A 13352-nucleotide genomic window follows, 5' to 3' on the forward strand; every position below is an offset into this window, starting at 1 on the left:
TACATTTATCTCAATGTTATTTAGAGTTGTCAACTGGAGAAAAACTTAAATGACCATTATTAACAGACTGAATAAATAATGACCATCTATACAATAAAATACTGTACGCCAATTGTAAGAGTAAATACAGTGTGAGGGTAAAATTTTTTACATAAGTAATACATGGTACATTCTGTTATACAAAAGGAAACCATTACAAAAAGGCTAAGGCCCTTTTGTCACTCCCAACCCAGAAGATCACTGTAAAAGTTTCAGGTGCATTTTTCCAGGCTTTTTCTATACATGTATACATCTACGTGCATATTTATATACACATAAAAATATATAATAATTTTTTTTTTGAGACGGAGTCTGGCTCTGTCGCCCAGGCTGGAGTGCAGTGGCTCAATCTTGGCTCACTGCAGCCTCTGCCTCCCTGGCTCAAGCTATTCTCCTGCCTCAGCCTCCCGAGTAGCTGGGATTACAGGCACCCACCACCACGCATGGCTAATTTTTTTTGTATTTTTAGTAGAGAGGTTTTCACCATGTTGGCCAGGCTGGTTTTGAACTCCTGACCTCAAGTGATCTGCCCACCTCGGCCTCCCAAAGTGCTGGGATTACAGGCATAAGCCACCGTGCCTGGCCATATAATGTTTTGAAGGTACTCCTTGTCCTGTGTCCAGTTCTGCAACCTGCCTTTTCTACTCAACAATGTCTTTGTAATCTCTTCATGTTAGTACACACACTATACAATTTATCTTTTTCTCAATAGCTACCTATAATGGACATTTCATAGTGTATTTGGGCTTGCCTTTACTGAGAAATCTTTAGATGAATTCTAACTTTTTGCCATTGCTAAATTAAATTTATATGTATTGATATAGAAATATCTCTATATTATATTAAGTTTTTTAGAAAGCTGAAGTGGAATATTTATATGGAAATAAACTTTTATATAGGTATCAAAAAGATTGGAAGGACACCAGTTTGCACAATTATTTTAGTGGAAGGAAGGAGGTTGGTTTATAAGCAGGCTTTGACTTTTTCTTTTTCTTTTTTTTTTTTTGAGAGAGTTTCACCCTTGTTGCCCAGGCTAGAGTGCAATGGCAGGATCTTGGCTCACCACAACCTCCGCCTCCTGGGTTCAAGCGATTCTCCTGCCTCAGCCTCCGGAGTGGCTGAGATTACAGGCATGTGCCACCACGCCCGGCTAATTTTGTATTTTTAGCAGGGACAGGGTTTCTCCATGTTGGTCAGGCTGGTCTTGAACTCCCGACCTCAGGTGATCCGCCCACCTCAGCCTCCTAAAGTGCTGGGACTACAGGCATGACCCATCACGCCTGGCCTTTTTTCTCTGAGACAGAGCCTTGCTCTGTTGCCCAGGCTGGAGTGTGGTGGCTCCATCTCAGCTCACTGCAACCTACGCCTCCTTGGTTCAAGCTATTCTCCTGCCTCAGTCTCCTGAATAGCTGAGATTACAGGTGTGTGCCACCATGCCTGGCTAATTTTTTTGTATTTTTTTTTAAGTAGAGATGGGTTTCACCATGTTGGCAAGGCTGGTCTTGAACTCTGACCTCAAGTGATCCACCTGCCTTGGCCTCCCAAAATGCTGGGAATACAGATGTGAGCCGCTGCACCCGGCCAGACTTTGACTTTTCCAATTTTTTCAATGATAATCTTTTTTCCTGATAATATGTTCACAATCAAGTAATACCAGGGACTGCTGAGAAGTGGATGATGAAGGGTGATAAGGTATAGACTGTGCCCTTCTCTTTGCAGCTCCTGAGAGGGGATGGGAAGGGATTTTGGGAGGGTGAGAAACAGCTTTGTCTGCCCAGAGCAGCTCTGAAGGTGGCCCAGTGCAGAACAGGATCTCTGAAGGCAGAGCGGGACACCCATTCTGGGGATGGAAAGAGGGAAGACCGTTGAGGCCATTTCCCAGGTGGAGGACTAGGGGTGGGAGAAGTGACCTTCTGCTTGAGGATCCAGTCCACCCTTCACCCACTTCAGACATGGACTTGAGACAGAGAAGAGATTTAAAACCAGATTTAAAACCATCAGCTCCCAGGAGTGTGGCCTCCTCCACCTGCTCCCCAACTTTTCTGGTTCCAAAGGTTCAAGCCAGGCTCAACTCCCACTCCTCTAGTCTCCAAATAAGCGTAGCACGGAGAGTCTGAGTGACAATCCACTTTAATAATCCAGCTTCAGCTCAGCTGAGAACTTCCCCTCTCAGGTGCAAAGGGATGGCAGAGAAGTCTTTCCAAGAGGGCTCAATCCACTAAGAGATTATGGCTTAGAGAAGGGAACAGCTCAAAGAAGCCCTATAATGGGAGGCAACATGGAGTTTGGAATTAGTGAGTGACCAGATGGAGATGTCCTGCCACCCACCTCCCACCAACATATGTTCCAGCAAGAGAAGCACCGAGGTTTCATCTGTTCTTGACAGCCACCCCAGTCTTCTCAGCCCTGATCCCCTCTTCCCATCCCCTCATTTTCCATTTCTTTGGGTCAGGGCCCCTGAGCCTTGAGAAGAATAAGGACCGTTGTTTTATCTCTTTTTTCTCTTTTGTAGAGACATGGACTTGCCATGTTGCTCAGGCTGGTCTCAAACTCCTGGCCTCAAGCAATCCTCCCACCTCCCCAAGTGTTGTCATTATAGCATGAGCCACTGTGGTTGGCCAGGACCCTTGTTTTCCTACATGGCCCCAGCATGACAACCAGCCCCCATTACTCAGGCCAGTCACTTTGTGATGGCGATGTTGTCCCAGCAACCAATCCAGGCACTAGAGGGGAAGCAGCCCAGCTGCCAGAGAGGGTCTGGGGTGGGTGTTACCTTGAAGAGGGTGAGGGTCTGGAGGACTCCTGTGGTGCAGGCCATCTCCCGGATAGAGTGCATGGCCAGTTGGGGGCTGCCTAAATCCAGCACCCGCAGCCCCAGCCGAGAAGCCAAGATAGGTCCAATGGTGGTTCCACAGGGGGTGTCATTCCGGACCATGAGATCCTAGGGAGAGCAGGAGACCCATGAGCAACATGCAGTGTGTGCTTATCAGAGCCAAGGAGGACGCCATCTTAGAATTGCAGGGTGGGAAGGGGCCTGGGAGATGGTCCATTCGGAGCATAAAATCAAAGCCAATGCTAAATGGCAGACCCCAAAGGACAATATATTCTGAATTGGTCCCATTCTATCTGCATTGCCACCACCCTAGTTCCAATCCATTCTCCACACAGCAGGAAGGGGGATTTTTAAAAGTATCCATCCTTGTCACCCTCTTGCTTAATATCCACACTCACAGAAAAAAATCACTCAGTGGTATCAGTGTCTTTAAAAATATTGCTACTGACATTTTGAAATGATTTTCTTTATATTATGGTAAAAAAATAAGAAAATGAAAATATGATGCTAGATATCAAGGTTTTCAGTGTAAGAGAAAACAGAATTACAAAATCAAATAGGTAGTAACTATTTAACTAAATAAGAATAATTTTATGAATAAGAATTACAGTATTAACTCATGATTTTTATTTAAAAATTTTTATTTTATTTTATTTATTTATTTTGAGATGGAGTCTCCCTGCGATGCCCAGGCTGGAGTGCAGTGGCGCAATCTCAGCTCGCTGCAACCTCTGCCTCCTGGGTTCAAGCGATTCTCCTGTCTCAGCCTCCCAAGTAGCTGGGATTACAGGCACGCACCACCACGTTCAGCTAATTATTGTATTTTCAGTAGAGACGAGATTTTGCCATATTGGCCAGGCTGTTCTCGAACTTCTGACTTCAAGTGATCCACTACCTCTCAAAGTGCTGGGATTACAGGCCTGAGCTACCACACCTGGCTTCATGATTTTTAAAATATGTACTTTTTTCTTGCTATGTCCATGGAAATGGACCCAAAGCACCGTCCCCTCCCCCAAGAACAATGAACACTTGCAGTGCCAGGCTATGGTCTCTAATACCACTGCTTGCCAAAAACTACCAAGTCTGGGGGGCGAAATGAACAAGACATGTCTACAATTTTTGTTGTGCCAAAAAGCAAGGAGACTTCCAAGAGTCAAAGGGCACAGGAGTTATGCTGAAGGGGCTCCCACTGGTCAAAGCCATGGCAATTCACAAATCAAATATAATAATTATAGAGGACACTGAATAAATGAAATTCCATGATTCTAAGATAGTCAGAAAGGGAAAAGCAGGCCAGGTGTGCTGGCTCACGCCTGTAATCCCAGCACTTTGGGAGGCCAAGGTGTGCAGATCACATGATTCCAGGAGTTCAAGACCAGCCTGGCCAACATGGTGAAACCCTGTATCTATTAAAAATACAAGAAACAGCCGGGCATGGTGGTGCATGCCTGTAATCCCAGCTACTCAGGTGGCTGAGGTATGAGACTCTCTTGCACCTGTGGGGAGGAGGTTGCAGTGAGCTGAGATTGCGACACTACACTCCAGCCTGGGCAACAGAGCGAGACCCTGTCTAAAAAAAAAAAAAGAAAAAGAAAAAAAAAGGAAAAGGAAAAATCTTTCTTTGTCACTATTTGAGACGACATTTCACCTTGAAAAGTGGATAACAGAAAGAATTAGCATTTATCCTGCTTTCCAATCAATAGGAATGATATTCCATGATAACCAAAGAACCCTAGTTGATTGGAGGGAAGAAGTTCCACTTCACAGAAGAATGGAAGACTGAAAGAATTCAGGGGAAGCGGGCATTTTTCGGTAAATTCTAATGAAATTACTGATTTAGACAAGGATTATTGTAAGTGTTAAAACCATTAGGTATCTGGTTAATAGGGAACTCATCACTTGTATGGGTCACTGTCAGGTCAATAGGGGAAAAGCACTATATAATGAAAGGATAAGAGGCCATTCCTGGTCCAGTGGTCAATCTTTGCAAGGCTAAGGGTGGCCCACCCAGATATCATGTGTGTGATGCCATATGAATACACCAGCCATGTCTTCTAGCCCAAAATGTTTAACTTGAGGCTAGGCACGGTGGCTCACACCTGTAATCCCAGCACTTTGGGAGGCTGAGGTGGGCGGACCACTTGAGGTCAGGAGTTCAAGACCAGTCTGGCCAATATGGTGAAACCCTGTCTCTACTAAAAATACAAAAATTAGCTGGGCATCGTGGTGCACACTTGTAATCCCAGCTACTTTGGAGGCTGAGACAGAAGGATCACTTGAACCAGGGAGGCGGAGGTTGCAATGAGCCGAGATCACGCCATTAGACTCCAGCCTGGGCGACAGAGTGAAACTCTCACTCTGTCAAAAAAAAAAAAAAAAAAAAAAAAAAAAGTTTAACTTGAATCCATCAAGTCTTTAGAAATTCCAGTTGATAGGAAATACGGGGCTTACAGACAAGCTAAATGACACCATGGGGCAGCAAGGAGACATATCCAGAAGTTTCTTGAATAAGCCAATGCTATTTAAAAAGGGGTGGGGGGAACTGTGCTACACTGGAAGACATTTAAGCAACATATCAGCCAAATATAACGCATTGTCCTGAGTTGGATACTAGGGTGGGCCAAATACCTGTAAAAAAAATATTTTGAGGATAACTGGGGAAAACGGAAAGTGATCTGTGCATTAGATGAGGTACAAGTTTACTGAAACAACAATTTCCTGAAATGGGGTTGGGAATGGTGGCTCATGCCTGTAATCCTAGCACTTTGGGAGGCCAAGGTGGGAGGACTGCTTGAAGCCAGGAGTTCAAGACCAGCCTGGGCAACATAGCAAGAACCCCATTTTTACTAAAAATAGAAAATTAGCCAGCATGGTGGCATGCATCTGTAGTCCCAGCTACTTGGGAGACTGAGGCAGGAAGATCTTCTGAGCTCAGGAGTTTGAGGGTGCAGTGAGCTATGATCATGCCACTGCACTCCAGCCTGGGAGACAAAGCAAGACCCTGTTTCTAATTTTAAAAAAACATTAAAAAAAAAAACCAAACTCAAATAGAAAGGTGAAGATGACTGAGTGAAAAGAGGCAACAAAAATATATCCAATATAATATCATTTTAAAAAAGTGTATATGAAGTTTATGCATAGAAAAAAATCTGGAAGACTATACCAAATTTCTGCAGATTAGTGTTTTATTTTCTCATCTCTATCTGTATTTTCTAATTTTCTAAAATACATGTGTCCTACTTCTGCTGTAAATTATTAAAGAAAAATCTCCCAATGTCTTCTCACTGCCTTAGAATAAAATTGAAATGTCCTTCCATGGCCTAGGTATTCCTGTATCATCACTGAGCTGGGCCTCTCCCCTAACCCTCTCCTGCTCTCATCCTGGCTCTACCATCCTGCCTTTCTCTCCTCCTAAAAGACGAGCTCATTCCTGGCCCCCCTTGGGGCCTTTCTACTTGTGCCCTCTGGCTGGGACCCTCCCATAGCTGCCTATTTCTCAGTGGTTAGGTCTCAGCTCAAATATCACGTCCTCAGAGAAGGCTTCCTGGGGGCAGAACAATTCAGCTTTCCGAAAGGAAGAGTGAACACTGTGCAGCAGAAAGAGCCCTGGGCTGGGAGTCAGGATACCACGGTTCTACACCTGCTATGATTGTCACTGGACCGCCCATGCCTGAGTCCCTGATATAGAGAGGTAGACAGATAAATATAGAAATAGACAGTCATGCACTACATGGTGACATTTCAGTCAAAGATAGACTACATATGACAGTGGTCCCGTAAGATTATAATGGAGCTGAAAAATTCCTGTCGCCTAGTGACATCACAGCTGTTGCGATGTTGTGGCATAATGCATGACTCACTTGTTTGTGGCGATGCCGGCGTAAATAAATCTACTGCCAGTCGTATAAAAGCATAACACGTGCAATTATGTACAGTATGCAATACCTAAGAATAATAAATGACTATGTTATGGTTTATGTGTTTACTATATTATGCTTTTTATTGTTATTTATTTATTTTGAGATGGAGTTTCACTCTTGTCGCCCAGGCTGGAGTGCAATGGCACCATCTTGGCTCCCTGCAACCTCTGCCTCTTGGGTTCAAGCGATTCTCCTGTCTCAGCCTCCTGAGTAGCTGGGATTACAGGCGCACACCACCATGCCCAGATAATTTTTGTATTTTCAGTAGAGACGGGGTTTCACCATGTTGGCCAGCTGGTTTTGAACTCCTGACCTCAAGTGATCCACCCGCCTCGGCCTCCCAAAGTGCTGGGATTACAGGCATGAGCCACGATGCCCAGCCTACTGTTATTTTAGAATGTACTCCTACTTATTAGAAAAAAAAAAAAAAGTTAACTGTAAAACAGCCTCAGGCAGGTCCTTTAGGAGCACATTGTTATCATGGTAGATAGCAGCTCCCTGCATGTCACTCTCCCTGAAGACCTTCCAGTGAGACAAGATGTGGAGGTGGAAGACAGGGACATTGATAATCCTGACCCTGTATAGGCCTAGGCTAATGTGTATGTTTGTGTCTTGGTTTTTAACCAAAAAGTTTAAAAATTTTAAAAATAACGAAAAATTTTAAAAATAGAAAAAAGCTTACAGAATAAGGATACAAAAAAGAAAATACTTTTGAATAGCTGTACTATGTGTTTGTGTTTTAAGCCAACTGTTGTTACAAAGGAGTCAAAAATTTTAAAAATGGAAGGTTATAAAGTAAAAAAGTTGGCCGGGTGCAGTGGCTCACACCTGTAATCCCAACACTTTGGGAGGCCGAGGCGGGCGGATCACAAGGTCAGGAGTTCGAGACCAGCCTGACCAACATGGTGAAACCCCGTCTCTACTAAAAATACAAAAATTAGCCAGGCATGGTGGTGCGTGCCTGTAATCCCAGCTATTCAGGAGGCTGAGGCAGAATCGCTTGAACCTGGGAGGCAGAGGTTGCAGTGAGCCGAGATCGTGCCACTGCACTCCAGCCTGGGTGACAGAGTGAGACTCCATCTCAAAAATAAATAAATAAATAAATAAATAAATAAAGTTAAAAAGTTACAGTAAACTAATTTATTGTTGAAGAAATACAATTTTCAAAATAAATGTAGTGTAGCCTAAGTGTCCGGCATTGATAAAGTCTGCAATAGTGTACAGTAATGTCCTAGGCCTTCACATTAACTCACCACTCACCCAGGGCAACTTCGAGTGCCGTAAGCTCCATTCCTAAGTGCCCTATACAGGTGGACCATTTTAAATCTTTTATACCATATGCTTCCTGTAACTTTTCTTTTTCTTTTCTTTTTTTTTTTTTTTTGGTTTTGTTTTTTTGGAGACAGGGTCTCACTCTGTCGCCCAGGCTGGAGTGCAATGGCACGATCTCGGCTCACTGCAACGTCCACCTCCCGGGCTCAAGAGATCCTTCCCAAGTAGGGAAGGCCTCCCAAGTAGCTGGGACTACAGGCATGCACCACTCCGCCTGCCTAATTTTTGTATTTTTTGGTAGGATGGGGTTTCACCATGTTGGCCAGGCTGGTTTTGAACTCCTGACCTCAAGTGATCTGCCTGTCTTGGCCTCCCAAAATGCTGGGATTACAGGTGTGAGCCAACACGCCTGGCCTTCTGTACCTTTTCTATGTTTAGATACACTGACCATTTTGTTACAGTTACCTACAGTTTTCAGCACAGTAAGAAGCCGTACAGGTTTGTAGCCTAGGAGCAATGGGCTACACCACACAACCTAGGTGTGCAGCAGGCTGTCCGTCTAGGTTTGTGTACATATACTCCATGATGCTCACACAATGACAAAATTGCCTAATGATGCCATTTCCCAGAATGTATCCCTGTTGTTAAGCAATGCATGACAGTATATATGTGTGTATATGTGTATACACAATACTGTCATGTGTTATATACATACATGTATACAACATATATATGTACACACACACACACACACACTGAGGAGAAAGGACTAGATGTCTAATTTCTCAGGCAAGAGAGAAAATGAGTAGTTGGAGTTCCATACTCCCCAGCCCTGAACTTTCCCTGTGGAAGCCCCCAGGGTGTGTAGGAGACACAGGGGAAGTGGGGGTGCTGCAGGGAAAGACAGGCCTACCATGTGCCAGGAGCACACTGTACCTTCAGTCTTCATAGAAATCCAGCAAAGTAGGCATCACTATCACCCCTATTCTACAGATGTGGAAACTGAGACTCAGAAAGGTTAGGAGACTAGTCCAAGGTCACACAGCTAGCACTGCAGCAGAGCCAGCATGGAATCCAGCTGTATCCAAAATCCCTGCTTTTCTCACTCTACTGGGACCCCCCTCCACTCAAGGCCATCTACCAGGTTCCCTGTTCATGGGGGGCCCATCTGTTTGTGCCCCCACCAAGCTCCCTCCATCACACCTTCCCAGGCAGGGCCCACCCTCACCTGCAGGGGGACCTTGACTTTGTTGGCCACCTCTCGGATCAGGGCCTCTGACACCGCGTTTGAAGCATAGCGTTGCTTGCTGTTCACCTTGATCACGGGGCCCTGGGGAGAGTCAAGGTGAGGCAGAGGTAATGACAGGCCCAAAGGGAATGAGTCGGCGCTCGGAACAGCCAGACCTCCAAGTCCCTAGGGAGAAATGGCACGTCTCACCTTGTGGAATAAAGGCCGGTGGTTCTCCTCATGCTTGTCCCTGTAAGAGACAGATAAGGGCCAGACATAGCAAACAGGAGCAGGCCTGTCGACACTCACCACCCTCCCATGGCAGACATCACTAATAGATCACCACTCTTTCCCGCCCAGCCCAGTGGGACTTCAGAGTCATTCCACACACAGGGTTCCGGGCAGCCTCTAGCAATAGATGGAAACAAGTTTGTAGACAAAGGTGTATTCCACACACCTGGGTTAGGCATTGCATGACTTTGACCAAGTTGGTCTCGCAGTAGTGAAAAGGAAGTGCCCGTGAACCTCCCGGCAGAATGAAGAAGGGAGAAAGGAAGAGGCTGGGGCCAAGGCAGAGCCTCAAGGCAGGTTATGCTTGGGTCTCCAGCTATGTGAAGACTGTGTGACTGGCACTAGAGACTCACAGGTAGTTGGGATGCACAGCATGGGCCATGTCTGCGCTGATCATGAAGGACTTGGGTATGGCTTCCTCGAAGGCTGTCGGGTGCTGGCACGAGGCTGAGATCCGCCGCAGCACCAGCTCTGTCAGCAGTGACTGTGCTCCCTGTGCACTCTCAGACCCCACCTGGCGACAGTAGAGTCCTGACTCTGGGAATCTGGGCTTAGGGGCCTGATCTTGGAAGCCAGTGAGAGGGGCCCATTGCCCAACTGGCCCAAAACCCCACTGAGTCACTGGGTGTTCTTAGCAACACCCCTAACCTGGGGTCGTCACTGAACACCAGACAGTGGGCTGAGACCAAACTAACTCACATTCTTAACAGTACTGGTGGGTTTCCTGCACTGCTCCCCTTCCTCCTCTCGTGACCCTCACATCTGGGGCTCAGCACAGGTGCCCCACCACACTGGTCAATTTTCTTTTATGTGTATGACAGAGACTGCTAACTGTCCATGATATCTTTTAGAACACCCAAGTTGTAGCTAAGCACTTAACTACCCAGCTAGAGATGACATTTCCAGGCTCCCCTGCAGCTAAGTTCTGTGGAATGTAAGCAGTGATGAATGTCACTTCTGGATCATGCCCTTAAAGCCAGGGGGTGTCTACTGCCCCTTTGCCCTCTCTTCCCTTCCTACTAACTCAGTGTAGACATGATGGCCAGAGCTGGAACGGCCACCCTGAATCCTGAAATGGAAGTCATGTGTTCAGGACGGCAGGGACCCCTCCTAAACTGCTAACTCTGACCTGGGTTGTTACATGAGAGAGCACTAGCTGTTCAAGCTCTGTTATGCAGCTGAGACTGCAGCCTCACACACGCAGGCATCATGAGGACCTACTCTGTGCTGAGCCCTGGGGCTACGAGGATGGGCTGGGTAGAGTCCCTGTCCTAAAGGAAGAAGCTCACCATGTGGCACAAAGAGAGATACAGGAGAGACGGTCACCCTCGAATAAGCAGATCTATGTTGAGTCAGAGGAGACACCAAGTGCTAAGGAGGCACAGGCAGCATCTCCCCTGTCTTGGGGCCCCCAGAAGAGCCCTGGCTCACGGTGGATGCCTGGCACAACAAGTTGGCTGTGGAAGACTCCGCAGAGGTGACCCTCCCCAGAACCCTCCACGTACCTCTTCGTTGTCATAGAGTGTGACCATGCGCACGTGAGGCTCTGTGGCCAGGGAGCCAGGGCCTGCACAGGAATCTATCAAGGCCTGGTTCAGGGAAGGAAATGAGAGCATCATCTCCAACCTGCTTCTGCTGGAACTCAGCCCACCAGCACCTTGGGTGTGCACGCTCCCCCATCCACCAGCACCTTGGGTGTGCACATTCCCCTGTCTGCCTTCCATGGCCATGACTTTTATCAATTAGGGCACTGCCTGGCAGAGGGTGTGGTGGGGACCTTTTTTTTCTTGCCAAATAAATAGCTACATAGGTAGAAACCTTTAAGGTGTGGTGAGGACCTTTTTTTTCTCTTTTTTTCTTTCTTTCTTTTTTTTTTTGGCCAGATCAATAGCTAGGTAGAAACCTTTTCAACTGGGACAGGAGACACCATCCTTTGGGTGTTGTTCTCTACCTTCCCATGCAAAAGGCAGTAGAAGATGTGGAGGACAGAGAGGAAGAGCTGAGAGTCCTGGAAAGCCAAAAGGCTACACACATCACATAAACTGATTGGCCTCAGGGAAAAGACTGAGGTTCAAAGAGGTGACAGACTCCATCAAGGTGACATGACTGGCTGGTTGCCTGCAGAAGTAGATGCAGGTCCCAGGTCCAGCTCTGGTCTCAATTACAGCCCAAAGCCTATCTCCAGCCACAGGATTACAGGGAAGGAAAGGCAGAAAAAGGCAGAGGGAGATCAAGGGCAAGAGGAGAGAAAGAAAGGGAACTGACTAGGGTGGAGAGAAGGTGGGGAATATCAAGGTGACTAGGAAGAGAGGCTACCTGACTGAGATCCCAAGAAACAGGGAGAAGGCTGGGGTCTTAAGCCTGGGGAGTGGCGTAGGAAGCAGAAGGAGGTGGATGATACTGCCTTGTGGATGATAAAGCCTTTCCCTGAGGCAGAGGTTGTTAACTTCAGGAAAAGCAGCAGGAGCAAGGCTAGGACAAGAGACCATGGTGCCTGAAACAACTTCTCCTCCTTCTTCTTGCCTCAACACCCTGATAGTGCAAGGGCAGAGACCAAAGGTGGCGATGCTGAGGCTGCAACATTTAGGGCCCCCTCCTGGTCCATCCAGCACCAGCAGACTGAGCGGGTAGACAATGGCCCTCTCTCACAACCTGCTGGGGCTTTAGGCAGCTCCCCCGACCCCAAACATACCACCTCTGCTGGTGGTTATGTGCTGCCTGGGGCGCCCCGGCTCCTCACCTGCAGGGCACAGAAGCAGCTGTGCAGATTGTCCAGCCGAGGAGCAAAGATGAACTCATCATAGGCACCACCCAAGACCTAGAGAGGTAAGACAGTCAGCCCGACCTTCAACCCTCCACCCCCACTCACCTTTCTTTTGCTCCCAAGGGTCTCCTTGGTTTCTTGCGCAACCTCTCCCTGACCCCTGGCTTAGGGCACTATTTTGTTTTTTCTTTTTTTTGAGATGAAGGTTCGCTCTTGTCGCCCAGTCTGAAGTGCAATGGCTCGATCTCGGCTCACTGCAACTTCCGCCTCCCGGGTTCAAAGGATTCTCGTGCCTCAGCCTCCTGAGTAGCTGGGATTACAGGCATGCACCACCAGGCCCAGCTAATTTTTGTATTTTTATTAGAGACAGGGTTTCACCATGGTGGTCAGGCTAGTCTCGAACTCCTGACCTCATGTGATTCCCCCCGCCTCAGCCTCCCAAAGTGCTGGGATTCCTTGCTAGGCAGGACCAAGCAGAGATTGGAGAAGGGGGCTGGGTTGGTGCTGAGGAACAAAAGGGTGGAGGCCAATAGCTCTTGACCTCTTCCTGTGGGTCAAGAAAAGGAAGGGCTGAATTGTCATCAAAAAGGCCAAAGAAGTAAACAGAGGAAACCAGCCAAAAAACAGAAACTTAGTACGTGTTCAAGCAGGACACAGCATCCAAAGATTTAGCAATCTCTGACCATCAGCAACCGGGAGACAGAGAACAGATGGCCACATCCAGGCCTCTTTCCCTAAGCAGTTCAGTGTCAGTGTGGGTCAAAGCAGACAGGGCCCACCTGTAGAAGAAACTCTTTGGGAATCTGTAAAAAGGGCCAATTCCCAGATAGTCCTAGTGGGCAGGTCTGGGGTAGGGAACTTGTCTTTTTGAGAACCACCGCCCTAGAAGCAGTGGGGGATGTGTCTACTGGGAAAAACGGGGATGAGAGTTACTGAGGGCTTGGTGGAGGTGATGGGTGCTTCAGCAGGACGGGCTAGGGGTGGCCAGGATCCTGGAGGCCCTTC

The 13352-nt window shown here is 47.2% G+C and overlaps 1 protein-coding gene across 9 annotated transcripts in view; it reads right to left on the reverse strand.

Annotated features, from left to right (window-relative positions):
- DNPEP (aspartyl aminopeptidase) overlaps nucleotides 1-13352 on the reverse strand; it is a 27965-nt gene continuing 14613 nt past the window's right edge. For all 9 annotated transcript variants that reach the window (NR_134970.2, NM_001319117.2, NM_001319116.2 and 6 more), the window contains 7 exons: nucleotides 12324-12401; nucleotides 11089-11172; nucleotides 9937-10097; nucleotides 9503-9542; nucleotides 9293-9394; nucleotides 2813-2980; nucleotides 1-2300 (listed from right to left, as the gene is read on the reverse strand). Coding sequence is in view for 8 of the 9 variants with exons in the window: in NM_001319117.2 (NP_001306046.1) it covers nucleotides 2250-2300; nucleotides 2813-2980; nucleotides 9293-9394; nucleotides 9503-9542; nucleotides 9937-10097; nucleotides 11089-11172; nucleotides 12324-12401 (684 nt within the window). In the remaining variant the exon portion in view is untranslated. The remainder of the gene's footprint in view (nucleotides 2301-2812; nucleotides 2981-9292; nucleotides 9395-9502; nucleotides 9543-9936; nucleotides 10098-11088; nucleotides 11173-12323; nucleotides 12402-13352) is intronic.

The sequence above is a fragment of the Homo sapiens genome, chromosome 2 (genome assembly GCF_000001405.40).
Source record: "Homo sapiens chromosome 2, GRCh38.p14 Primary Assembly".
In the NCBI taxonomy this organism is placed as follows: Eukaryota; Metazoa; Chordata; class Mammalia; order Primates; family Hominidae; genus Homo; species Homo sapiens.